This window comes from Homo sapiens, chromosome 12 (assembly GCF_000001405.40).
Source record: "Homo sapiens chromosome 12, GRCh38.p14 Primary Assembly".
Taxonomy (NCBI): domain Eukaryota; kingdom Metazoa; phylum Chordata; class Mammalia; order Primates; family Hominidae; genus Homo; species Homo sapiens.
Window position 1 is genome coordinate 18,437,737 of NC_000012.12, and position 27,926 is coordinate 18,465,662.

A 27,926-nucleotide genomic window follows, 5' to 3' on the forward strand; every position below is an offset into this window, starting at 1 on the left:
CAATAAAATGTTGACATAAATTGATTGATGATGCTGAAAATTACACAAGACAGTCTAGATAATCAATTACTAGATATTATAGGGACAGCTGCATAAGTAGACTGGTAGACGTCAGTGAACAGAAGCAAGAAACTGCCTAGGAAGCGTATTGAGGAAAGAGAGTTTTATGTTAGTCATTCATTCTTTAATTCAAATATCTATTCTCCCAGTTTTTGTTGACTGCCTGCTATGCACATAATAGATAACGCTTGCAGAGGAAATAGAAAATATAAACAAGTTATAATAAACATGGATTAAGCAATATGTGTTTTTTTAAAGTATTCTAGCTATTTCAGGCAGCTACCACAAACACTAGAGTCATTTTTCCAACCCTTTTGTCTCAATAAATTAATTTTAAACATTTTATTTAGTGATTTTCAAGTCTTCCTTGACTGGATTGTAAACCTGAATTCAATGTATTTATTAACAATTATTTATTCTTAGACATAATTGTGTCAAGTGTCTACAGACCCCTTTCCAGGATCAAGAAATTTCAAGAACTGAATTGGTGATCAGACGGTGACTTGGATAATCTTCTGGAAAATTTTGCTGTTCTTTCTCTGCTATAAAGAAAGGAATACTAAGGTTTAAGGTTAAACAGTAGACTCCAGTGTGGCTCTGACTGAGAGAGTGTTGCTAAGAATTCTAATCATCTAACTTTTCTGCTTTGACTACTCCTTCTTGTCTTGACAAGATTGTCTTATGGTACACGTAGTATAGTTAATGCTAGACACTATGGTAGTCATTTCAAATATTACTTCATTAACTGACAACAATTCTTTAGTCTCCATTTCTCTGAAAAATATTAATACTCAGAGATGCTAGGTATACAGAGCTATAAAGAAGAAGAGCCAACATTTGATCCTGTGCCTCATACATTAGTACCCATCACTCTACTTACATATTATGAAAGCTATAAAAATAACAATAAAAGATAGAATAATGTAATAGAGGGAGAACAAGATTTGGAGAAAAACATACTTGAAGAAAAATTTCAACTCAGGCCTCTCCTAAGCTGGGTAGCCCTTGAAAAATTATTCGACCTCCCTGATCATCAATTTTATTACCTATACAAGAAATACAATTGGGCTTAACACAGTTTTTATTAAACATATATATTGCATAATATATATAATACGTATTTATACCTTCAAGAATATGTTTTTGGAGTCATTTAGAAAGGATAAGAAGTATCACCAAAGTTTCAGTTCCCAAGGTTATATCACAGATTACTAATGACATGGAATTTGGATCTCAGATTCCTGACATTTGACTCCTGACTCCTACCATTGCATTGCTCTTCTTGTCTTATCCTAATTGCAAATTTAAAATTTAAGTTTAATAACAGAGTTTGAAATGAGTAAAAGGAGTAGTAGAAAAATCACTGTATAAACAAACCAGTTTATGGGCCTGTTAAGAAAAGTTTCTGAAACATGCTAAGTGTCAGAACAAGTTGGAAATATGTGTGTCATTTAGTGTCAGTGAAATTTAACATACAGAGAAATCTAACAAAAGTCACAGATCGCCAGTTGATACATGTTTTTGCATTTCAATAGCCAACACATATTTCACTCACATCCCTCATCTGCCTGCTAGTATAATACAGATCAAGAAAGTACAAGTAAAATTCTTCATCAATTTCTTAGTTCTTTTAAAGCGTTATTTAATGTATTAACCTTATTACATTGACGTTACTATTCACACTGAAATAGAGTTGAGTGTTAGAAACTCCACCTCTGACTTCTTCAAGTTCATCAGACCACTCCATAATTTGACTTGCTTTCCCACCAACTTTCTGAGCCACTCATGTATGTATCTGGGGTAATTTCTTTTAGCACTCCGTGTATATAACAAGTCACTTGCAAAATGTCTCATGAATCAATACCCTTTCTTTATCTCCACTAAACCTTTAACTCAGTATGACATCATTTCCTTACTGCTAGTGCTATGTTTTTTTACTCTGTCTGCCTCATTCAAGATTCTATCCATACCACGTCATTCTCCATATTGCTTTAAAACTAAACAATGATTTTGCAATGTCTATAGCATAAAGATCAAATTTATTAATCACACACCATGTATAATGAATCACAGGATACATTTGTAAAATACGTTTATTTTATTATCAACTGGTTCCAAAGCAACCAGTTTGTGTTTCACATATGAAAATATTGTTATCCTCTTTAATTCATAAAGTAGTAGTTAATAGTTTAGGATCTACCTCACTGTACCTGGATGCAAACCTGTTTCTACTATTTATTAGGTGTCTCACTTTAAGCAAGATACTTAATTTTTACAGGACTCATTTTTCTCAGGCACTAAAAATTAGAATAATAATATTTACTTTCAGAAGGTTATAGTAAGAACTAATGCAGTATGGGGCCACGGTGTTGGATAGCCGTGTGAATTCAACCAGGAGTCATGCAGGCTTATATCTGTAAGAGTTATAAGAGTTATAATCCTGTCCCATAGGAAGAGCTTGTTCACCAAAAAAAAAATATTTATTGAGCACCTTCCATGAGTTAAGCCACATTGTAGTCTTCAGGGATATAGCAATGAATAAAAGAGACAAAAAACCCAGTCCTTCCTTATGTAGCTTTTAAGAGAAATAAAATCCATACTTGTAAGGCATTGATAAGTACTAGGGAGAAAAATAAAACAAGTAGGAAACATAAAAAGTACAAGGGTCAGGTAGTTGCAATTTTAAGCTGGGGAAGCAAGAAAAGGCCTTATTAAAAAGGTGACATTTGAAAAAGACCTCAGTGAAGTAAGAGAGTGAACCGCCTATGTATCTGAAGGAAGAGGATGCCAGGAAGAAGTAATAGCGTGTGCAAAGGCATTAAGGTGTCTATTTGGGGTGTTGGGAGGACAACAATGGGGCTAAGGTGGCTGGGTTAACTTGAATGAGGGGAAGACTAGTAGTAGATGAGGTTACAGGGGGAAAGAGTAGGGGTAAGGGCAGGTTATATAAAAATTCCTAGGCATTATTAGAATATTAGCTTTAATCCAAATGATTAGAGGGCTCTGAGAAGATGAAAGGCACAATTTGGCTTATATTATCAAGAGATCAGTTTTGATCTATTGAAGTGTGAAGTAACTATTGAACATTTTCATCTGGGCTAGAACTAAAAATGAGAAAATTATCAACATATACGTAAGGTTCAAAGCCACATTAACAGAGAAGGTCATAGGAGAATGAATACAAATAGAAAGGAAAAGAAGTCCAAATATTTAGTGGTAACGCCAACATTTTAAAAATCAAAGAGATAAAGTAGAACCAAAAAAGAAAACTGAAGAGAAGCAGTCAGGGATATAAAATATAAACCAAGTGAGCATGGAATTCTGTAACACTATATAAAGCATCAAAAGAGAGATGTGATCACCTGTGTCAAATGCTACTGGTAGGTCAAGTAAAATTGAGATCTGATTAGCACCATAGAGGTCATTGGAGGTCATCAAAAAAGCACTTTCAATCGAGTAGAGGTAAAACCTGATGGGAATATATTGAAGAGTGAAAAGGAGAGCTATTAAAAACAATTATTTTAGGAGTTTTGCTAGGAAAGGGAAGAGAGAAATGTGGTAATGGTTGAAGAGGGACATGGTCTATGAAAAGAGTGTTGCTTCTTTGCTTTTACAATAGGAAAAATTGCTTTTTAAATATACTGGTGGGAAAAATCAAATAGAGAGGGCAACATTGATGAGACGGAAGAAAGAATTTCTGGTGCAAAATCCTTGAGTAATGATAGGGTGTGATATCTGTAGCACAGGAAGATTGGTACACAAAGTCCATACATAGTAAGAGGAGAAAATGAAGAGTGGACTGGAACAGGCGGGTGGGTGCATGTGGTGGTAGTTGCCTGTAGAGTGAAGGAAGCAAAGTCATCTTCTCATGACTGTGTCTGGGCCTCTTTGTTTTCTGTATGCAACAAACTCAGAATCACTTATAGTAATAGAGAAGTCTAAGATTTCCCAATGAGACAACAAAGGACAAACCAGCAAAGCAGATGACAAAAACAAGATAAAAGTAGGGGTACAATGTGCTATAGACAGAAGTGCATCCTGGAGTCTCAAGTGTCAAATGCAGCATTGTGAATCATTCTATTTAAACTTCTGATTTAACTGTTCTTGAAGCTTTGTTTTCTTTTAATTTCCTACGTCTATCTGTGTATTTTTCTTATTCAAATGAAGATATAAAAATATGAAACTTTAAAAATAAAAGTTTAATTCAGTAGTGAGGCTGAATTAAACTTAGAATAGAAATTAGTATTTCTATTAAGGGGATGAAAACATTGACCAATATTAGCAGCATTTATGATCTGCACTATAGTAATATAGGAATATGCAATTAGAATTTAATATACAATATGTTTTTGCATCAATGATATTTAAATGAAAGATATATTGATATGAATAATCACTATAGCTTTTCTCTAACTGACAGTATTAACCCCAAAACTATGAGAAATAACTCTATTAACCTCACCCAGACAATGAATGTACTCACTGAGTGTGGAATACTGTAAAATATGCACTGGACCAATTTCACAAACATGAATATTATTGTCTGTCCTCAAAAAGTTTACATCTTCCTTAGAAGAATAAGAAAAATATAAATAAGCAATCAAATCTGAAAAGAACATTTATAAAGTAATATTGCAATAATGGCATGATAATTACAATAGCCCTCAAGGAAAGAAAAATAAAAATATCTTTCGATTTGGAGGAGATTAGTTGAGGTGAATTCTTAGAAGAGGGGTTTTGAAACAGTATTTTGAGGAGATGACAGATAAGAGTAAACTGAAAAGATTCCAAGAACGAACTCATACAAATATAGAGAGGCTAAAAGGAGAGAGGAGTAGCCATATTATGTTTCTAAAACAGGACTCATTGTAAGGATGAATGTGAAAAAGAGTTCCAAGTTATAACATTATAATTCTTCAGATATTAACAACATTTACAATTGATTAAAATATTTAAGAGTATACCTTTTAAAATGATTAGAAAATTATGCATCTTTTTATGCATACATTTTTATATAGACTTGAGTTAGATCTGAATCATTCGGTCTACAAGTTCCTCTGTATGGTCAATATCCTACATTTTTTTTTTTTTTGAGACAGATTCTCACTCTTGTGGCCCAGGCTGGAGTGCAATGGTGCAATCTCGGCTCACTGCAAACTCCACCTCCCGGGTTCAAGAGATTCTCCTGCCTCAGCCTCCCACGTAGCTGGGATTACAGGCACCCGCCACCATGCCCAGCTAATTTTTTGTATTTTTAGTAGAGACAGTTTCCCCATTTTGGCCAGTTTGGTCTCGAACTCCTGACCTCAGGTGATCCACCTGCCTTGGCCTCCCAAAGGGCTGGGATTACAGGCATGAGCCACCATGCCCAGCCTAATATCCGACTTTTTATTCCAGAATGATTACCTGGAACCTAAACTGATCTTACAAATTAAGAAATAGAATTAGCATTCAGAAAGCATAAGAGTACCTACTCTGTACATGGTGCTGTCTGTGTGTGTGTGTTTGTGAGTGTATGTATGTATGTGTGTATGTTTATGTATATATAATTTTTCACAAGTAATAAAAAATATCAGTATATTTATTTAATTTGAGACTTTCATTCAATGTGATGTGAATGTATTGTACTTTTATTTCATACCCTATTATGGCTTTAAAGTTTTTTTTTCATTTTACAGCACACAGGAAATGAAAAACCACTTCTTTTGTTATATCTTTGTTTACAGGAATTTCTGAAAAGTAAAATGTGTACCCTTTTATTTCTGTAATCACCGAAAAACTCCTTCTATATGTATCAGAAGAAATGTTATTAAAAAGTTAAAATTTTGGTTAAAAAAACAAAGAGAACAACTGAATGGGACCTAATGAACAGAAAATTCTTTCACGGAAAAGTGATACCATGATAATAAGAAAATGGACAATTGCTAAATCAAAATGAGTAAATACTAAAGTCTATCTCTGATCTGTTACCATTCACTAACTTTAATAATTGTTGTATATGCCATCTCTAATCATTTAGACATTAGAAAGATTCTCTAAAAATTGGATTGCCAAAATATTTATAGAAAGCATCTTAGAGTGTAACGACCCTTCTCCTTGACGCCCAAGAATTATTCACACAGTTGCCACTTCAACATTCCCAATTCATAAAGCATTATATAACTATGCAAATACTCCAGGCCTGACTCATGCTCTCGTGTATTGAGTGTATTTTATCTGGCAAGAAACAAATATTGGCTTTCTTCTTGTCAATCAGAGAGTGCCAAGGCACTATTCTATTACAAAATAAATATGTAAACAAATCAATGAATATTAAAGTTCCCATTCCAGTAAAATCTATACACCCATTCTCCTCCAAACACACTATAAGCCATCTTCCCTCTATAATGTTATGTTTGGCATTCAGTGCCCTTTCCTGGAACGGCCACCCCTGTCTTTACCTCCTGGGCCTTTAGTAGTCTTATCAGTAGTATGAAGTCTCACCTGAACAACTCCAATCTTGAGAATTTCCAACTCTGCTGAAATCCTGTATCATATTTTGTCTTTATCAATTGTTTGGTATTTATGTTTTTAGTCTTACATGTATGTCTGCATCTTACGAATTCTCACACTTAGCCTAATATATTTAGTAAATACTTATCAGTATTTTTATTGAATTGGAGCTGCAAAATCAGGCAGACCACAAACTTAATGGTGGTTTTGACCTTTCCTTGCTGAATAATCTTAAATTCCCTGAAGTTCAGTTTCCATACTGTAGAATGCGGATAATAGTAATTATATCCTGAATATAACAATTAGTCAATAAATGGTGGTGGTGCTGTTGCTGCTGATGATGATGACAAATAACAACAATATCAACAATGACTATTTTTTTCTTTCATTCTTTTCCTTCAGTGGGATTGAACTGATTTGACGTTTTATCTAACATAAACTGGATACTTTTAATTATTCTTTGTATTAAAAATATTTCTGAGTCCCTTCGTTTCAGCCAAACCCAAAGAATCCATTCAGGTTATGTCCTAAGTTTGATATGTTCATACACATTCTCTATCACAGTGGATGCTTTTGTATAATTTTAGTACAATTATGTTCAGTTTTTGTCCTTACCCATAATTAAAACTATATGATACTTGCCAAAAAAGAACACTGCCAAATAAGATCAATGAAGCAGAAAAGACCAGAAATATACTTGATTATCTTCAAGAATTTATAGTTTTTCAAAAAATTTTAAATCAGTGGAGGAAAGATCGATTATTTAATGAATGGTGTTTGGATGGCCAGCTGAGGGGAAAAAAATGGATCCAAAGCTAGTACAAGCCAGATATTTAAAAAATTAGAAGAGAGAAACAATGAAAATACCAAAAGAAAAATTCAGAGACTTTTTTATATTAGGAAAATACTTTTTAATAAATAGGTGTTGTATATCATCTTTTCAGTGGTGAAGAATTAATTTCTTTAATTAACACAGAACCCCTACAAACCCATAAAAGTGGTTTAAGAATATAAGCAAGTAATTCCATTAAAAATATATACTGTGTATGGTTCTTAAACACAAGAATTGGTATTCAACTTGAATTATAAAATATAATCATATACTGCTTTCACCTATCAGATTGGCAAAAATTAAAAAAAAAAATTGGTGGCAGCCTACTAGTGAAAATGTGGGGAAACAGAATCGCAAATTGAAGATGGAAGTTTAATTGTTAAAATGTTGTGGAGGTTTGTTTATCAGTTATCTTTTACATTTTAAAATACATGTATTTTCACAAAGCAATTTTGCTTTTAAATGCTAATTACAGATCTACTAAGATATGTGCAAAATGATGCATGTATGATAATATTCATGGTAGTTTTGGTGGTAAAAAAAATGAAAACAAATACTCATCAATGTAGAATTGGTAAAAAGATTTTGTTATACTCATCCAAATAAAATCTTATTTACTTTAGAAAGCACTCTACATGCTAACTGTAAACCATCCCAAGATGTATTATTACATTTCAAAAGCAATATGCAGTCTGTGTGTATAATATTCTACTATTCACGTAAAAGAAATATTTATTTACTTACCTTGAGTGCAATTGCATAGAACATCTCTGAATGGATACAAAAGAAACTAGGTGCAATCTTTTTAACGAGGGGAAAATGGGCACAGAGAGAGGAGGACTGGAGACTTAATTTTCATTGTAGTCTCATTTGCATCTTTCGGATTTTGTAACCTAGATACATTGCCTATTTAAAAGAGTAAGAAAAGTAGATAATTTTTGAAAACCCTATAATTAGCCATGTTTTGAGAGCAACAGCAACAGACTGTATAATCTCCCCATATCTTTTTATATAAACACAGAATTTAGACCCTGCCAATCTGCCACTTAATTATTTTAATCATATGGAAGGGAATGAACTTGAAGATGATCTTGCCAGATGTCTTCTGTTTGCCTCTTAAGACCCACTCCACCATTTCCCTGCCCCTGCCCTGGAGGTTCACCTCCGTGGACAACATTCAGAGTCTCTCTTGCCCCTGGCTTTTGGTTGGATAAGCCAATTGGCAGTCTCAGCAGGAGATTACAGGGAAAAAAAGAGAGTTCATGGTATGTATTCTCTGCCTCCCTAACTGTGGGACTCTCCTTCATTTGGCTGTGTCTTCACTGTTCCCTTCATGGCCGCTGACTCATTCCTGAAGTCCCACACCTCAGGCCTCAGTGCTAACAGTATCACTGTCACTGGCCCCAATGTACCACCCATACCGTGTGATTTTTCTCCCTGCAACCTTTTTTAACAGTCCCATTAAACCTTCCTCAAGTTGTTTGAATGGTGCATTTTCTGTTTAGACCCTGTTACAGTGGAGGAAGCAGCTATTGTTGTTGTTGTTTTGCTATAATTAACATAGGAATGATTAAAAGTGAATATTTAATCATTGGCATGAACCATGCACAAAAGCATAGTTAGAAGTTTTATATTAACTTCAAGAGAATATGTATGTCAAAATAGAGTCTTTATTCAAAATGAAGGGCACTCTGTTTTGTCTACTTCTGTATATATACAGTCTACTGGTTTCAAAGGCCTTTTTCCTTCACTTTTTTCTTCTTTTAAATTTGATTGCTAGGCATCTCGCTATTTAATGCCACACACGCTATAAAATAGAGAGTAGAAAGAGTCCGATGAAATTCTTTTATTTAGAAGAGATGAAAATATATTGATATTTCCTTATAGGTGGTGATCTTATACTTCTGTTTCTTCCCACTGCTCCAAGCTACTTCACCTTTGTTCAAAGGTTGAATACAGATATTGAACTAAATATTGTAATAACTTCCTCATGATTAATATAAGAATAGTCATGTTACCCCTATTTGGTTCGTGTGTTAGATGATCACTTTTTACTCAGGGCCACGTGATATTATGAACCACGAGTGGCAGTTCCACAATATGCAGCAATTGACAGTGGCCCTTTTTGCTTGTGCCCAGTTAGGTAGATTTGTGTTATTCTGAATGGCAGGAACACTACAAGACTTTTTAATAAATAGAAAGTAACCATGACAGATTTTTGTCCAGACAGATGTTCAGTGGTTATCTTGTGACAGAACACTCAAACAAGTTGTCAAACTTAAGAATGATTTTTGCATTTTCTTTTTAAAATAAAAGTTTCAAATTTGCAGCCTTTCTTGTGATGTCTAGTGGGTTGCCACCTGGCATATATCCTATTAACACACAGATACACGCACTTCATGTCAGGTGCCCCTTCAAGATAAAGGTAATTTTTCACGGTAATGGAAAAGCAAATATTATTTGTTCTGAATATGTTACGAGGGAGTATTCTGAAAATGTTATGTTTGTTTGGATATGTTTTCATAACTACCTGGATTTGTTAATTAAAAATATGTAAAAATATTACCTGAAAAAAATCTTTTATCGTGTACTTTTAAACCTTGGAGACAAAATTTTCTATTCTGTCGTAGAATCTTTCAAATAATGAATTTAAAAGTATAAAGGTGCAACAGCTTCCACTAGTATGAAAGAACAACTGATAGCTATTGAGTAATATTGAAAATGTTAAGCAAAATTGTTAAAAATGTTTGCTTAACTGTTGGATGGTATTATTTAAAAGTATTATCATTGAGAATACATCAATAACATTAATGCAGATTATGGGGGATTTCCTCCACTTGGGTCTCTGCATCTTTGTGATAGATTCTTCCTGGCAATGAAGCTAAGGAAATCAAATATTGGAATGAGACCTCAGTAGTGTAAAATGTAAACTAAGGTCCTAAAATGTAACGAAGAATATTCAATAACATAACTCTCACTAAGTAGTATTAATTAATAATAATTGTTAGAGCAAAAAGTGCTTTTTTGATTAAAACATACAATAAAATTATTTTTGAATAGTATTTCCTCTCTCTTACTCTTTTTAATTTGATTTCAGTTTGTGTATGTTTTGTAATGGAATATATTAGTATGAAAGAATATACCTATAATTCATTTCTGTTTGTTTTTATTTTATATGTTTAATATACACACAATGATGTTTTGATGTACATAGTGAAATGGTTACTATAGCCAAGCAAATTAACATATTAATCATCTCACATAGTTATGGTCCATTTTGGGATAAGAGCACTTAAAATCTACGTGTTTAAAATGATCAATATACAATACAGTGTTATTAACTATAGTCCTCATGTTGTACGTTAGATCTCTAGACTTATGCAGCATATACAACTGCATCTCTGTTCCCTTTACCTACATTGCCCCATTTCCTCTCCCTGTCCACATCCCACAACCACCATGCTATGTGTTGGACTTTCTTTTAGATCCCACATAAAAGTAAAATTGTACAGTATTTTTCTTTCTGTGTCTGGCTTATTTCATGTAATGTCCTTTAAGTTTATCCATGTTGTAGAAAATGGCAAGATTTCCTTTTTTAAGGCTGAATAATATTTTGTATCATTATATATATAATGAAATATTGTTACAAATTGAAAACATCTTATATTGAAACAAATTATATGTATATATTATACACACACATATATATATAATTGTGGTGGAGATATATCTCCACCACAATTAATTTATCCATCCTCCCCAACCACTGATGGACACTTAAGTTGTTTTTATTTCTTGGCTATTATGAATAAGGCTGCAATGAATGTGAGACTGCAGATATCTCTACGAGGGGTTGACTTTATTTATTTCTGGGTTCATACCTAGAAGAGGGATTGCTGGATCATATGGTAGTTCTATTTTTAATTTTTTGAGAAACTTCCATACTGTTTTCCATAATAGTTGTACCAATTTACATTTGCACCAACAGTGTATTGAGTCCTCTTGGTGCCATTGTTTAAAGTTAGTTTGACCATATATGCTTGCATTTATCTCTAGGCTCACTATTCTGTTCCATTGGTCTATGTCTCTGCTTTCATGCCAGTACCATACTGCTTTGATCATTATAGCTTTGTTTGCATATAACTCTTTTTTATTTTTATTATTTATTATTTTTTTTATTTTACTTTAAGTTCTGGGATACATGTGCTGAACATGCAGGTTTGTTACGTAGGTATACATGTGCCATGGTAGTTTGCTGCACCTATCAACACGTCATCTAGGTTTTAAGCTCCACATGCATTAGGTATCTGTCCTAATGCTCTCCCTCCCCTTGCCTTGCACCCCACAACAGGCCCCAATGTGTGATGTTCCCCTCCCTGTGTCCATGTGTTCTCATTGTTCAACTCCCACTTATGAGTGAAGACGTGGTATTTGGTCTCCTGTTCCTGAGTTAGTTTGCTGAGAATGATGGTTTCCAGCTTCGTCCATGTTCCTGCAAAGGACATGAATTCATTCTTTTTTATGGCTGCATAGTATTCTATGGTGTGTATGTATGCCACATTGTCTTTATCCAGTCTATCATTGATGGGCATTTGGGTTGGTTCCAAGTTTTTGCTATTATAAATAGTGCTGCAATAAATATACGTGTGCATGTGTCTTTATAGCAGAGTGATTTGTATTCCTTTGGGTATATACCCACTAATGGTATTTCTGGTCCTATATCCTTGAGGAATTGCCACACTGTCTTCCATAATGGTTGAACTAATTTACACTCCACCAACAGTGTAAAAGCATTCCTATTTCTCCACATCCTCGACAGCATCTGCTGTTTTCTGACTTTTTAATGATCGCCATTCTGACTGGCATGAGATGGTTTCTCATATGGTTTTGATTTGCATTTCTCTAATAACCAGTGATGAGCTTTTTTTCACGTTTTTTGGCCACATAAGTGTCTTCTGTTGAGAAGTGTCTGTTCATATCCTTTGCTCACTTTTTAATAGCGTTGTTTTTTATTTTTATTTTTGAGATGGAGTTTTGCTATTATTGCCCGGACTGCAGTGCAATGGCACAATCTCAGCTCACCGCAACCTCCACCTCCTGGGTTCAGGTGATTCTCCTGCCTCAGCATCCCAAGTAGCTGGGATTACAGGCATGTGCCACCACGCCTGGCTAATTTTGTATTTTTAGTAGAGATGAGGTTTCACCATGTTGGCCAGGCTGGTCTCGAACTCCCAACCTCAGGTGATCCACCCGCCTCAGCCTCCCAAAGGGCTGGGATCACAGGTGTGAGCCACCAGTCCTGCCTGTTGTTTGCTTTTTTCTTGTAAATTTGTTTAAGTTCCTTGTAGATTCTGGATATTAGACCTTCATCAGATGGGTAGATTGCAAAAATGTTCCCTCCTTCTGTACATTTCCTGTTCACTCTGATGACAGTTTCTTTTGCTGTGCAGAATCTTTAGTTTAATTGGATCCAATTTGTCAATGTTGGCTTTTGTTGCAATTGCTTTTGGTGTTTTAGTCATGAAGTCTTTGCTCGTGCCTATGTTCCTGAGTGGTATTGCTTAGGTTTTCTTCTAGGGTTTTTATGGTTTTAGATTTTAAGTCTTTAATCCATCTTGAGTTAATTTTTGTATAAGGTGTAAGGAAGGGGTCCCAGTTTCAGTTTTCTGCATATGGTTAGCCAGTTTTCCCAACACCATTTATTAAATAGGGAATCCTTTCACCATTGCTTGTTTTTGTCAGGTTTGTCAAAGATCAGATGGTAGTAGACGTGTGGTGTTATTTCTGAGGCCACTGTTCTGTTCCATTGGTCTATATATCTGTTTTGATACCAGTACCATGCTCTTTTGGTTACTGTAGCCTTGTAGTATAGTTTGAAGTCAGGTAGCACGATGCCTCCAGCTTTGTTCTTTTTGCTTAGGATTGTCTTGGTTATGCAGGCTCCTTTTTGGTTCCATATGAAATTTAAAATAGTTTTTCTAATTCTGTTAAGAAAGTCAATGGTAGCTTGATGGGAATAACATTGAATCTACAAATTACTTTGTGCAGTATGGCCATTTTCACGATATTGATTTTTCCTATCCATGAGCATGGAATTTCATTCCATTTGTTTGTGTCCTCTCTTATTTCCCTGAGCGGTGGTTTGTAGTTCTCCTTGAAGAGGTCCTTCACATCCCTTGTAAGTTATATTCCTAGGTATTTTATTTTCTTTGTAGCAATTGCGAGTGGGAGTTCACTCATGATTTGGCTCTATGCTTGTCTATTATTGCTGTGTAGGAGTGCTTGCGATTTTTGCAAATTCATTTTGAATCCTGAGACTTTGCTGAAGTTGCTTATCAGCTTAAGAAGTTTTTGGGCTCACACAATGGGGTTTTCTAAATATAATCATGTCATCTGCAAACAGAGACAATTTGACTTCCTCTCTTCCTATTTGAATATTGTTTATTTCTTTCTCTTGCCTGATTGCCCTAGCCAGAACTTCCAATACTATGTTGAATAGGAGTGGTGAGAGAGGGCATCCTTATCTTGTGCTGGTTTTCAAAGGAAATACTTCCAGCTTTTGCCCATTCAGTATGATATTGGCTATGGGTTTGTCATAAATAGCTCTTATTAGTTTATGTTTCATCAATACCTAGTTTATTGAGAGTTTTTAGCATGAAGGGGTGTTGAATTTTATCGAAGGCCTTTTCTGCACCTATTGAGATAATCATGTGGTTTTTTGTCATTGGCTCTGTTTATGTGATGGATTATGTTGATTGATTTGCGTATGTTGAACCAGCCTTGCATCCCAGGGATGAAGCCAACTTGATCGTAGTGGATAAGCTTTTTGATGTGCTGCTGGATTTGGTTTGCCAGTATTCTACTGAGGATTTTCACATTGACGTTCATCAGGGATATTGGCCTGAAATTTTCTTTTTTTGTTGTGTCTCTGCCAGGTTTTGGTATCAGCATGATGCTGGCCTCATAAAATGAGTTAGGGAGGAGTCCCTCTTTTTCTATTGTTTGGAATAGTTTCAGAAGGAATGGTACCAGCTCCTCTTTGTACCTCTGGTAGAATTCGGCTGTCAATCTGTCTGGTCCTGGGCTTTTTCTGGTTGGTAGGCTATTAATTACTGCCTCAGTTTTAAATTTGTTATTGGTCTATTCAGAAATTCTACTTCTTCCTGGTTTAGTCTTGGGAGGGTGTATATGTCCAGGAATTTATCCATTTCTTCTAGATTTTCTAGTTTATTTGCATAGAGGTGTTTATAGTATTCTCTGGTGGTAGTTTATACTTCTGTGGGATCAGTGGTGATATCCCCTTTATCATTTTTTATTGTGCCTATTTGATTCTTCTATCTTCTTTATTAATCTGGCTAGCTGTCTTTTTTATTAATCTTTTTTTAAAAAAAAACAGCTTCTAGATTCATTGATTTTTTTGGAGGGTTTCTTGTGTCTCTATCTCCTTCAGTTCTGATCTAATCTTAGTTAATTCTTGTCTTCTGCTAGCTTTTGAATTTGTTTGCTCTTGCTTCTCTAGTTCCTTTGATTTGATATTAAGGTGTCGATTTTAGATCTTTCCCACTTTCTGATGTGGGCATTCAGTGCTACAAATTTCCCTCTAAACACTGCTTTAGCTGTGTCTCAGAGATTCTGGTACATTGTGCCTTTTTCTCATTGGTTTCAAAGAACTTTGTTATTTCTACTTTAATTTCGTTATTTACCCAGGAGTCATTCAGGAGCAGGTTGTTCAGTTTCCATGTAGTTGTCCAGTTTTGATTGAATTTCTTAATCCTGAATTCTATTTTGGTTGCACTGTGGTCCGAGAGACTGTTTGTTATGATTTCCATTATTTTGCATTTGCTGAGGAGTGTTTTACTTCCAATTATGTGGTCTATTTTAGAATAAGTCCTATGTGGTGCTGAGAAGAATGTACATTCTGTTCATTTGAGTTGGAGAGTTCTGTAGATGTCTATTAGGTTTGCTTGGTCCAGAGCTGAGCTCAAATCCTGAATATTCTTACTAATTTTCTGCCTCATTTATCTAATATTGACAGTGGGGTGTTAAAGTCTCCCACTATTAGAGTCTAAGTCTCTTTGTAGATCTCTAAGAACTTGTTTTATTATTCTGGGTGCTCCTGTATTGGGTGCATATATATTTAGGATAGTTAGCTCTTCTTATTGCATTATTTCCTTTACCATTATGTAATGCTCTTCTTTGTCGTTTTTGACCTTTGTTGGTTTAAAGTCTGTTTATCAGAGACTAGGATTGCAACTCCTGCTTTTTTTTGCTTTTCATTTGCTTGGTAAATATTCCTCCCTCCCTTTATTTTGTATGCATACAACTCTTTAATGAATGTAAATATCTGAGAGGTGTTCAACAATTTTTCCTCTTAGGAGTATGTGATGAAAAGTTTTGGTGACCTGTGCTTTTAATAATTGACTTGTAGATCTTGAGGGGAGGGGTTAGGCTTCAGGTTCAACATACAAGTTAAATGGAACACTCATATCTTGAGGTTACTGCCAATACTAAACACATTGTAAAGCACCTTAGGAATTCTTTCACAGGTGTTCTGAATAGTAATTTTTAAACAACAAAAAGAGACCCTCTGTCAGTTTTGTTTTATTCTTTTCAATTAAAAGAGAGAGAGAAAGTAATTTGCTATCAAAAAAAAAGTATGCAAGTGAACACAGCTCAATTAGCTTTTAAACGTGAATTTTAATTAGTGTTCTGACTCACTGTCTAATTTGAATGTTGTCAGTTATCTATGGTTTAGACTATTCCATGCCAAAATTTACTCATTTGTTAGGAAGAGCCAAAAGTTGGCTTAATTCCACCCCTCTGCTTAGCATTTTATTAATGTAAAGCTTCTTGTAGTTTTAAGTGCCACATAAATGCCTTTGTACACCTATCTGATACACGTCTTCTTTTCAAAACAGAGTTTTTCTACTAGTTTTTTTTACCAAGTAGAAATTAGTCATATTCATTCATCTGCTTCTTTAGTTAATTCAGCAGTTATTTAATGAATGCCTACTATATGTTAAGCTTTGTCCCATGCATTGGAGATACAACAGTAAACAAAATAAAAATCTCAACACCCTGATGGAGTTTACATCCTAGTGGAGGAAACAAATAATAAGCAAGATAAATAAATAAGGGGCATAAAATATTCTCTCATGAGAAATCAAAACAAGGACCTATGTTGGGAGGAGGCAGTGCAATTTTAGATAAATCACCTGGGGAGGAACTATTTGAAAAGCACTGGAGTAAAGATATTTGAGGGAATCAGCCATGAAGATATTGGGTGAGGTGCTTTCTCTGCTGAGAAAACAGTGAGTTCAAAGGTATTAGAGTGTGCTTAGCAATGTAGGGAAGTGTGAAAAGCCAGTGTAGTCACGTGAGGTATACACAGGGAAAGGAAAAAGATCATGCAGGGTCTTGTGGTTTTTGTAAGGTGGCTGAGTATCTGAATGAGAATGGAATCCATTAGCAGGATCACTTTGCCTGCTGTTTTGAGAATAGAATTAAGGAGACAAAGGCAAAAGCAGAAAAGTCACACATTCCTAAGAGTTATTGCAATAATCAGCTGAGAAATTTTATTGCATTAGCTGAAGGTGGTACCAGATGTAGTCAGATTCTATTCTACTTCTGAATTTTAGAATTCAGAAAATTTTAGAAATTTCTCTTCTTAATTTGAAGATAGAACTGACAGAATTTACTGATGAATTGGATGTGAGATATATTCATCATCTAGTGCTGCATAACTAAGTTTTATTCACTTAAGAAACACATATTTGTTATCTCACTATTTCTGTAGGTCAGGAATTCAGGTACCCCTTAGCTGGGTTCTCTCCTCCAGGGTTTTTCTCTCAAGAGGCTGTAATCAAGGTGTCAACCTGGGATCTACCCTCATCTCAAGATTCAACTGGAGAAAGATTTGCTTCCAAGCTCACTCAAGTGATTGCTGGCAGCATTTAATTCCTTGCCAGGAGGCCCACTTCATCAAAGCAAACATACAAGGATAGCTAAAGAATATACCAGCAAGACCAAAGTCAGAGCCTTTTACAACCTAATCACAGAAGATCACTATATCAGCTTTGTCATAATCTATTGGCTAGGAAGAAATCGCTAGGTCCAGCCTACACTTAGGCAAGAGTTTTACACAAAGACATGAACACCAGTAGGTGGGATCATTGGGAGCTACATCAGAAGATGCCTCCCACCTAAGGTATGCCAGGAGGTTGGGAAGGGGAGGGGGGTGGCGGTTGGTGGAGAAGAGTCAAGAATGACTCTCATGTAAATAACATACATAGGATTATTTTACTTGATAAAGCCTCTTTTGGTGTTTAAAATTTTATTTTCTCCCTTGAATTGCAGAATTTTAATTGCTATAAATTTTAAGTTCAAAATCTTTGTCTTAGATCATTTGAGCTGCTATAACAAAAATACCATAAACCAAGTGGCTTATAAATGATAGGAATTTATTCCTATCAGTTCTGAAGGCTACAGAGTCCAAGATCAAGGTACCAGCAGATTCAGTGTCTGGTGAAGACTTGCTTCCTGCTTCACCGACAGCTGTCTTCTCACTGTTTTCTCACATGGCCAAAGGGATACAGAAGCTCTCTGGGATCTCTTTTATAAGGGCACAAATCCCAGTCATGAGATCTCCACCTTCATGACCTAATCACATCCCAAAGGCTTCACCTCTTAATATCATCACATTAGTGGTTAGGATTTCAGCATACGAATTTTGGAGGAACACAAACATTCAGTTGATAGCATTCACGCATTCATTATATCCTTTAAAGAAAAAAATAGACTGTCTGCCTCCACTCATAATCTGTCAATGACATTCGCCTTATGCCAGTTCTACTTGTTTTCTTTACCATTCTGGAGTTCCCAGAAGTTATTCAGTCCCAGCAATGTTTGTTAAGCATTCAAATGTGCCCCTTGTTGCCTTACAGAACAAAGACACAAGTCCTTGTTCTCAAGAAGAGCTCAGCAAAGGCAATTGTTTATCTGTTAGTTTACTGACCTATTTAAAGTTTAGGAATAAATAAAGTTTTTAAAATGTTAAATATTTTGGACAAATGTCCAAGGTCATGAAGCAACATCGTTTGTCTGGGGTAAATACCTGAGGTTTGCTGTCTCATGACAAGGAAATTAAGGATGCGGACACACAAGGGAGTTTAAGAGGGGAGGTTTAATAGGTGAGAGAAAAGAGAAAAGCTCTCTTTCCTGGAGTTTAAGAGTGGAGGCTTATTAGTCAAGAGAAAGAGAAAAGCTCTCTCTCCTGCAGAAAGAGAGGGGCTCCCAAGTGGGTCTTCCAGTTTCATGGTGAAATACACAGGGGGTTTTATAGATGAGCTTGAGGAGGCCATGTCTAATTTACATAGGGCACAAGAGATTGGTTGGACCAGGTGTGTCGTTTACATAGTGCAAAGAAGCTAGCCGCCCCAACCTAATCTTTTATTATGCAGATGGGTCCCCTACCTGGCCAGCACTATGTTACCTGTTCCTTTACTGTACACTTGGTTGACAAAGAAAAGGGAAGATGGAGCCTCCAGGTTGAACATACCTGGCCCCCAGGTAACCTTTTCCTATTGGCACAGTTGTTGGCATTCACCTGTGCAAGCTTCCAGCTTGCTTATCTATGTCTGCAGCTTGATTTTACAAGCTGCTCTTTGTTAGAAAAGAAATAATTTGGGGGCTGCTTTTTGTTAAAAGAGAAGCCTTACCAAGGACTCTTTTACTCTCACCAACGGCTGAAATAATTTCTTTTTAGCTCCTGTATCATTTATACTACTAGTAAATGGCAGAGCTGGATTGACAGTCCATTCTTTTTATATAAAAGTTTTCCATTTTTGAGAACTTTGTAATCTTGAGGGACAAAACCAATGATCTTGAAACCATCAAAAAAAATGGTGACTTTCAAAGCATTGTAATGTGAAATACAAGTACAATGGAAACATAGAAAAAGGAACAATAAGGGTAGACTGGGATAGAGAAACTGGCTGGGAGGAGACAAGACCAAACTGGAGCCATGGATAATGGATAGAAGGAAGATACACAGATTATACTGTATTGTGTAGTTTGTGCATAGGAAATTACTGAATACATATAAATATAAAATTGATGTTCGCAGAGAATAGTTAAGTGCTTTCCTTTGATTCTGCAAAGTCATATATTACCCCTCTCTTTCTTTCTGAATTTCCTTTTGGATGGCAATTGAGGAAGTAAGAAATAAATACACATCCAGTGTACTAATAATTTAACAATCACTCTTTAGTGTCTTTTGGCCATCAGAAAATTATATTGTCTTGTAGACAACCAAAAATATAGCCCATTCTTAGTGCCACCTGCACTGGCCTCAGTTCCGTGTGAGCCCTTTTCTGCCTGTCCTAACCACATCATGATTTTGGAATATGTGTGTATGTTCATACCACTCCAAAAATTTCCCTTGGGCTTTGTGTTGCAATTTTCCAGCAAGTACACACTCCCCACTCTCTCTGTCTGTAATCATCTGTGCTGATTCTGAAACTCTTCAATCTCTATAAAATAAGAATGAGGTGCACTGATTTTTTTTTAATGAAAGGCCACATCTTTTATTCTAGACTCTCTTTCAATCAGAATGAATCCAGTGATAGCCATAGTAGAGTAAACTGCCTATTCTTAGACTTTTTAAAGTCAATGTGAACAAAGATAATATGGACTGTGCATGAATCTAGAGTGGGGGTAATCATTTATAATAACCAAAACCTAATCAGACACTTGGTATTATTTAATTAGAATCTAAATATGTAAATAGGTGACAATAGTTTTTTTTAAGTCAAGATATAGAAAATTCTACATTATCTACTTCTTTTATAACCTTCTTTCTTTAACATTAAAGAAACTAATTAACATTAATTTATTAATGATAACAATTTATTTTACATCAATGTTCAAAAATGAAATTTAAACTTCTTAAGTTTTATGGAGTAATCCTTCCTGTTCTTATTTACTACCTTCATCTTATCCACCATAAGCTAGGTTAGTTTTATAGACAGAAAGGAATGAAGAAATGATAGGGATAGGCCAGTTAGGTCTTCCAATTGCTTTTCATTTCCAAAAGTGGATTAAACATTTTAATATATTATGCATTCTAAGGGAAGAAAGAAATGTTAGTGTGAAGCAATAATTTTCTGGGCATACTGTGTTATTTAGAGCAAAAGATATTCCCATATCCCAAAGAACTTGCTTCTATGACAAGTCATGGATTAAAACATGAAGAAAAAGTAGATTGCATGGTTAGTCTTGCTTAGCACCATGCCTAGTAACTTGCAGATGCTCGTTGTATATATTATATGAATGTTGGATGAAGTTTTCAAATAATTCAGTGTCCTAAATGCTAAGTAGAGGTAGTGGGAAGAATTCTAAGATGGCCTCTAGTGACTCTCCTCCTAGCCAGATCCCCTGCCCTACAATGTGGGAAGAAGCTGAATATGATGAGTATCACTCTTGTGATTGTGTTACATTATATGGCAAAGGACAGATTATACAGAGTGGGCCCAACTAATCACTAGAGCCCTTGAGCCCTTATAAGCAAAGATTTGCCTCCAGCTGGCAAAAAACAAAGTGAGAGATTCAAAGTGCAAGCAGAATTTAATGCAAGGGGATGCTCTGTGGCTGACTTTGAAGATGGTAAGGGTCATGCAGCAAGCATGACGATGGCTTCTAGTTGCTGAAAGTGGCCCCTGGCTGACAGCCAGTTTAAAAAAAAAAAAAAAAGGAAGCGGGGAGGGGCTGGACTCTCCTTACAACCACCAGGAACTGAATTCTCCCAACCATCTCAACAAGCATAGAAGTGAGTATTTTCCCAGAGCCTTCAGATAAATATGAGTCTGGACAATACTTGGATTTTAGCCTTATGATACCCTGAGTAGAGCACCAGCCACACCATTCCTGGACTTCTGACTTACAGAACTGTGAGCCAATAAGTAGCCATGGTTTTAAGCCACTAATGAAGACTGTCAGCACTGACTCTTATTAAAATCTAAAAGAAGCCCGAGGAAAGAGAGATTTAAGAAGTTTATCACTGGAAATCATAAGTTAAAATTTTTTAAGTGTGTAACTGTTCCTCAGGCAACCCCCAAATATTATAATTTACAAATTCATAAATAATTGCATATAGAAGAGCAAGCATTTGGCAGAAGTCAGTCCACTCCAAGTTGTTTTTAGCCATTTAACCTAAGTCTAAGGCATTTAGAAAAAGTAAAAGAGACTAACCTACATGAAAAACCAGTTAATAAACTAGCCTATGTTAGGAAGCAATTAATTATTTTGGTTGTAAACTTCCCTCACTACAACAGATTTCTCAAATAAATGTTCATGGGAAAGGGTGAAAGATTCTTTCTACTGCTTATACATCAATCCCTGTGAATGTGTAGACAACTTTATGTTATGTAGTTGGCATCTTTCCTGTTAGGAACAATTAAATTCAAATTCCACTATTTGGATTATATATTGGAAATACACTAGTTACAGTGAAATTTATATTGAATCTGTTGCATGCTTAACCTATGCCTAAATTGAATGGACACTTTAATGAAACAGACTCAATATTAACCAAGTCTGTGATGTACAGAGAATCACTGTTATTATACTACATCAAATGCTATACTAAAGCCCTCTGAAACTAAGACTAGAGTCTAGCTGTGTCATCCAAACTGGAGTGCAGTGGCCCAATCTCGGCTCACTGCAACCTCTGCCTCACGGGGTTCAAGTGATTCTCCTGCCTCAGCCTCCCAAGTAGCTGAGACTACAGGCACCTGCCACCACGTCTGTCTAATTTTTGTATATTTTTAGTAGAGACGGGGTTTCACTATGTTGACCAGGCTGGTCTCAAACTCCTGACCTCAAGTAAGATGCCCGCCTCGGCCTCCCAAAGTGCTGGGATTACAGGCGTGAGCCATCGCACCCAGCCCTTCTTTTTTCTTAATTACTTTTTTCTACATGTTATACTTATTAAGGCAGAGTGATATCGTGTTTAAGAATAATGACCCTGGACTGAGGTAAATACAAATTTGAATCTGACACTTAATAATTGTATGATTATGAAAATGTTTCTAAACCTCTCTGAGACTCAGTTACTTAATATGCAAAAAAGTATGTTTAAAAGCATTGTTTTGTAGGTTTTAATTAAAACTAATTGTCCAGGTGCGGTGGCTCACTCCTGTAATCTCAGTACTTTGGAAGGCCAAGGAGGACGGATCACGAGGTCAGGAGTTTGAGAACAGCCTGGCCAATATGGTGAAACACCGGCTCTACTAAAAATACAAAAAAATTAGCCAGGTGTGGTGGCACGCGCCTGTAATCCCAGCTACTCAGGAGGCTGAGACAGGAGAGTCGCTTGAACCCGGGAGGCAGAGGTTGCAGTGAGCTGAGATGGCGCCACTGCACTCCAGCCTGGGTGACAGAGCAAGACTCCGTCTCAAAAAATAAATAAATAAATAAATATAAATAAAAAGATTGACATCATATTCATATATATATATATATATATATATAGCACTTAGCACACTGCCTAGAATAATTAAATCACTCAGTACATCTTAGCTATTTTTTATTGTTGCTATATGAAAATTAGAAAACGCAGATTAGCATACATATCAAATAAAATATTTGATAGGCCCTGTTGAGAGAGGCAGTAGTATTGCCTAGGGATTAGGCATGCAGATCCTGGACACCGTATTAGGGTAAAATCCCAGATCTCTCACTCATTATTTACATCACCTTACACTTTCTGGGGTCTGCTTTCCTCAGCTGTAAAATGAATGCTAATATTAATACTTACTTTTCTAGTTTACTGTAAGGATCAAATGAGTTAATACACGTAAAATGCTCAAAACAAATTCCGGAACCTAGTTGTGATATAGAAGTGTTAGCCTTTAGTGTACCTCAGTGGTAAATATTCTTCAAAACTGTATGTTTATGTGTATGTATGTATATAATCTGCGTGGTATTTTATATATATAGTGAAAAAGGTGCATTATAGATATTGTGATATACCTCACTTTATTTAAAAAATACAGCCTACCTTCAGCATCTTTCTAAAAAGTAAGTAGCATATTTTCATAACGTCATTTTTGCAACTTACCAGTACTATATAGTTAGTTAACATCATTTATTGACTTATTACATTATAATTTATTATGTTATAGTTAACCAAACCCCTGTTGTTGGACATTCAAACAAAAGTTGGACAAAAATATTGTTTCCAGTATTTTCCTGTGACTGTATATTCCCATTGAGATGAACTTCTTTGTAGTTAAACACTTGCATATGTCCTTAGTTATTTCTTTGGACTATTTACATAGGGTGGAATTGATAGAACAGAGAATACACATGAGAATATTCTACTTACTTTGATCTACATTGCCAAATTGCCTTTTATTAAGGTTGTAAGGATTTACACTTCCATTAGCAATAAATAAGACCAGCTGTTTCCTGCATCTCCACCAACATCTGTATTCTAACTTGGTTTGTTAATAGTGTCTAATTGTTGAGATAATTGAAATTAGTTGCTTTATAAAAGAAGCTCCAGAAAGCTAAATAGCCCTTTCCACTATGTGAGGCCACAGCTAAAAGATGCCATCTGTGAACCAGAAGCAGGCCAGACACAGAATCTGCTGGCACCTTGACCTTGGACTCCACAGACTCAGAACTGTGAAAAACAAATTTCTGTTGTTTATAAGCTACCCAGTGCATGGTATTTTGTTATAGCAGACTGAGTGAACTAAGGCACTTGCCTCTTCCAGCTTCAAGAGACTGCCCACATTCCTTGGCTCATGTCCTTCCAGCAATAGCATCACTCTGACCTCTGCTTCTGTTGTCACATCTTCTCTTCCCTCTGACCCATCTGCCTCCCTCTTATAAGGATGCTTGTGATGACATTGGGTCCACCCAGGAAAATCTCCCCATCTCAAAATCCTTACTTAGTCACATCTACAAGTCTCCTTTATCGTGTAAGTAACATACGGACAGGTCCAAGAATTAGAATGCAGACATTATGAGTGGAGGAGTGGGCGCATTATTCAGTTTACCATAGCAAGTTACTTTCATTTCTTCCTTGGGTAGCCTTTACTTTAATCCACAGTCTGTTAGCTAATCCTTACAAACGGCTGAAGAAATTTAATTCCAATATTAAAGTATAAAGGGTCTACAAAATATTGGCTATTCACAGATACTACGCAGAATAAAAAACAACCCTTTTATAAAAGATATAGCTAATGCACTTCAGAGCACCATACAAAAAAAAATGTGGTTTTCCCTTAAGGGTATTACATGCACATTATATCTGACATTATGATAAACCAGAGTGAAATCAAGTAAGCAGTCCATTTCTCTCTTATTCCCTTCTGTTTGCATTATCTCGACTATCTTAGTTCAGGCCCTTTTTTGTAGACTATTGACAGAAGGTAACTCAAAAAGCATGGATGACTCTGAAATCTGGGCCAGTGCCCATGGGAAAGCTAAATGAAACAACTGCATTTTTGTTGTTGTTGTTAGGCTGCAAGAGAATCTAAAAGTTAGGGCCAAGTTTAAAAGAGAGGAAGTTTTAAATGTGGACTCGCTGGTTTTATTCCAAGTAATGTCAGTTTTTTGGCAAGTTGGGTTTCTGACTCAGGAATTTCTGCTCGCTGATTAAATTGGCCTCATTTCAACACATAATATTGGCTGCTTCCTAAAGATTAACTTGCTTACCAACAATATAATCTACTCTCTTTATTAGTAGTAAAATTACATTATCCAGCATTGCATTCTTTTCAATGGTTTGCAAACAAACATTTTAAAAAAAATAAGTGCTATAATTTATAAAATGCTCTTTTCACATAGCATCATTCTTTGAAAAGAATACTATAGCCTTTATTGGATACACTTAAAAATAGAGTTTTTCTATAAATCATGGGATAATTCAGTAATTAATAAGGATATATTTGATTTTATCTCCATTGTTAATAGTCACTATCATCAGCATTAATTACTGTGATCTGATTCTGACTTCTGTTATTGTTTCAGAGTCATCAGATTTGCTTTAGTTATTCATTGTCATGGTATATCCTACGTACCAAAATTTTATAACATATAGAATGGGCTATTTCACTATTTGATTTTCATGCATACTTATAGTAGAGCTTACCAATTTTAGTAACATATCTAATGGAAATTATATAAGGCAGCAAGAAACTGAAGCATTACCTCCCTTTGACAATGAGTAGCTCAGCAGCTGAGTAAAATTCTGAAAATATAAATTGTTAGACTCCTCTCTGCCATAAAGAAATCTTTCACCTTTAATGCCTCAATCCAGGTTTTCCCTCCCATAGATAAACGCAGCATAAGCAACATGAGGATCCCTGTTAAACATTTACACAAGAGGAATAATACTTCCTAATTAATCACCAGTGGACTGCATCAGCGATTATATGATGGTCGTGTTTCTAATGCAGGTGTTCATAATTTGAATGGAATTTAATGAGCACGGGTAGTTTATCTGCATTTATTCTCTGGTGCAAACCAAGGCAATTAAGACAGCTTTGTGTTCATGTAATCACACAGCATAGAATGTAAGAAATGGGAGAGACATCAAATGTCTTCATGACCTAGACTCACATTTTACAATTGAGGAAACTGGAGGCCAGAGAGACTTGAAGAGCCTCCAAATCCCTCCTCCAAATCCCTTTATATTATCCATAAATGAGTTTGTTGACGGCCTTAGAGCTGGTAATAGCCAGATCTATGAAGATCAAACAGGCCCTTCACTCCTCCGCTCTGCTCTTTACTTGGTCTCACTTCCTCCCAGATATTCAGTGTCCTTTCCTCTTCTTCACATCCCAGCCTATCAAAGCCCTGATCTCAGATCATTACACTTCGCTGTGTACTGAATTCTATTATTACCTTCCCCAGAATGATCTGTACTAACAAATCATAAATTGTGGATTTGTGGAGTGAAAAATTGTCTGACTTTAGTGAATGAAAGAAATTTGAAAAGGGGCTGCCTCAAGTGTAAAGCTGGCCTCATATGCCCTAAAGTACTGTTATTTTAAAAGTCCAAGATCAACGCTAGCAGATTTAGTGTCTGGTGAGCACCTTTTCCTCATAGATGGTACCTTGTATGTGTCCTCACGTGGTGGAAAGAGAAAACAGGCTCCCTCAAATCTCTTTTATAAGGGCATGAATCCCATTCATGAGTTAGGAGGCCTCATGACCTAATCACTTCCCAAAGTCCCTACTCTCAACACAATTGCATTAAACATTAGGTTTCAGCATATGCATTTGGGGGAAATACAATATTCAGACTGTAGCAATAGGTCTAAATTGTAAATGACAATACAACAAACTGCCATGAATTCACTACCAAGTTTAAGAGGCATCAAAATAGGAACTTTGACAACTCCTATATGACCTATGCCAATCATATTCATTTAATCTTTCTCATCAGAAGAAGAAATGACTTTAATTATTCCAATTCACTTTTTTTGTATGACCTTATCACTAATGTTTACACCCTTACAAAAATATATTATTTAGTTTTATGTGTTTTTAACCCTGCATAAATAGAATTGTATGTGTCTTCTGCAAATTTTGTGTGGGCAAAATTATCTTGACATTCACGCATGTTTTTGTTTGTAAATTCTAGTTTGTTAGTTTTCACTAGTTTATTGTACTCTGTAGTATAAATGCATCACAATTTATCTCTTCTACTTTGGATGCCATGAATATTTATTGTGAGTACTGATATTTTTGGATTTATTTCTATCATTGTATTTTGTTTTTTCTAATTGCCTTCATTTTCTGTTTCTTTACCCTTTCCTTTGTTATCTTATTTTAAAGGATTTTTTATTCCATTTCCTCCTTGACTAGTTTGACATTTGTAAACTCTCTAATCTACCAAAGCTGTATTAGAAATTGTAACATCTACACTTAATTTATCAGAATCTAATACTGAAAAATAAGAAACTTTCTTCACCTAGTCATTCATTCAAAGAATTGTTACAGCCCTTTGAATACCTCAGTCAAAAAACATACAAAAACCTTTTGGAAGTTCTTATTGGAACTACACTCTGTGAAAACTTCCTTCTTAATGAATTTAGCGTACTTTATGTGTGTTTCCATCTTAGTGACATTTAGTACAACCCAAACAACTTGTTTCCTACTTTATATGTTATTGGTGTTAGGTATCAGAGTTCTATTTTACTGTATATTTAGCTTTACAATATGTCATTAGTAGCTGTTTATTTAGTAAATATTTATAGGTTTTGCTTTCTTTGTCCATCATTTCTTCTTGCATTTTAGTCTTTTCATCTAGAATCACTTTCTTTCTACCTGAAAAGGCTTCTTAGTGGAAGGGTGTTGTTGCAAACTCTGGCCCTTTTTATTTTCTAAAACAACTTTAGTTCATATTCATTTTTGAAAGATATGTTTAGTGAATATACAACTCTAGGTTGGCTGTTGTTTCCTTTCAGTAATTTGGAGATATTCTATGATCTTTTGACTTCAACTGTTGCTGTTGAGAAATCATTCA

General features: G+C 35.4%; 1 protein-coding gene and 1 long non-coding RNA gene across 18 annotated transcripts in view, besides 2 other annotated features; one reads left to right on the forward strand and one right to left on the reverse strand.

Moving 5' to 3' along the window:
• The window catches only part of LOC124902891 (uncharacterized), a 32,969-nt gene extending 24,805 nt beyond the window's left edge, over positions 1-8,164 (reverse strand). The window contains exon 1 of the long non-coding RNA XR_007063234.1: positions 8,129-8,164. This is a non-coding gene — a long non-coding RNA (uncharacterized LOC124902891). The remainder of the gene's footprint in view (positions 1-8,128) is intronic.
• Positions 1-27,926, forward strand: part of PIK3C2G (phosphatidylinositol-4-phosphate 3-kinase catalytic subunit type 2 gamma) — a 483,857-nt gene that overhangs the window by 194,776 nt on the left and 261,155 nt on the right. The window contains exon 20 of one of the 17 annotated variants that reach the window (XM_011520701.3): positions 484-3,601. The exons of the other annotated variants lie outside the window; for them this stretch is intronic. Within the exon in view, the coding sequence (XP_011519003.1) occupies position 484 (1 nt within the window). The 3' untranslated portion in view covers positions 485-3,601. Of the gene's footprint in view, positions 1-483; positions 3,602-27,926 lie in introns of those variants that run through there. 17 annotated transcript variants of the gene reach the window in all.
• Positions 16,523-17,038: an enhancer, noted in NCBI's record as "OCT4-NANOG hESC enhancer chr12:18607193-18607708 (GRCh37/hg19 assembly coordinates)". NCBI's record gives its function as "activates a minimal SCP1, AML or CMV promoter by ChIP-STARR-seq in primed H9 embryonic stem cells {active_cell/tissue: H9 hESC(primed)}" and the evidence as "EXISTENCE:reporter gene assay evidence [ECO:0000049][PMID:30033119]".
• Positions 18,551-19,052: an enhancer, noted in NCBI's record as "NANOG hESC enhancer chr12:18609221-18609722 (GRCh37/hg19 assembly coordinates)". NCBI's record gives its function as "activates a minimal SCP1, AML or CMV promoter by ChIP-STARR-seq in naive H9 embryonic stem cells {active_cell/tissue: H9 hESC(naive)}" and the evidence as "EXISTENCE:reporter gene assay evidence [ECO:0000049][PMID:30033119]".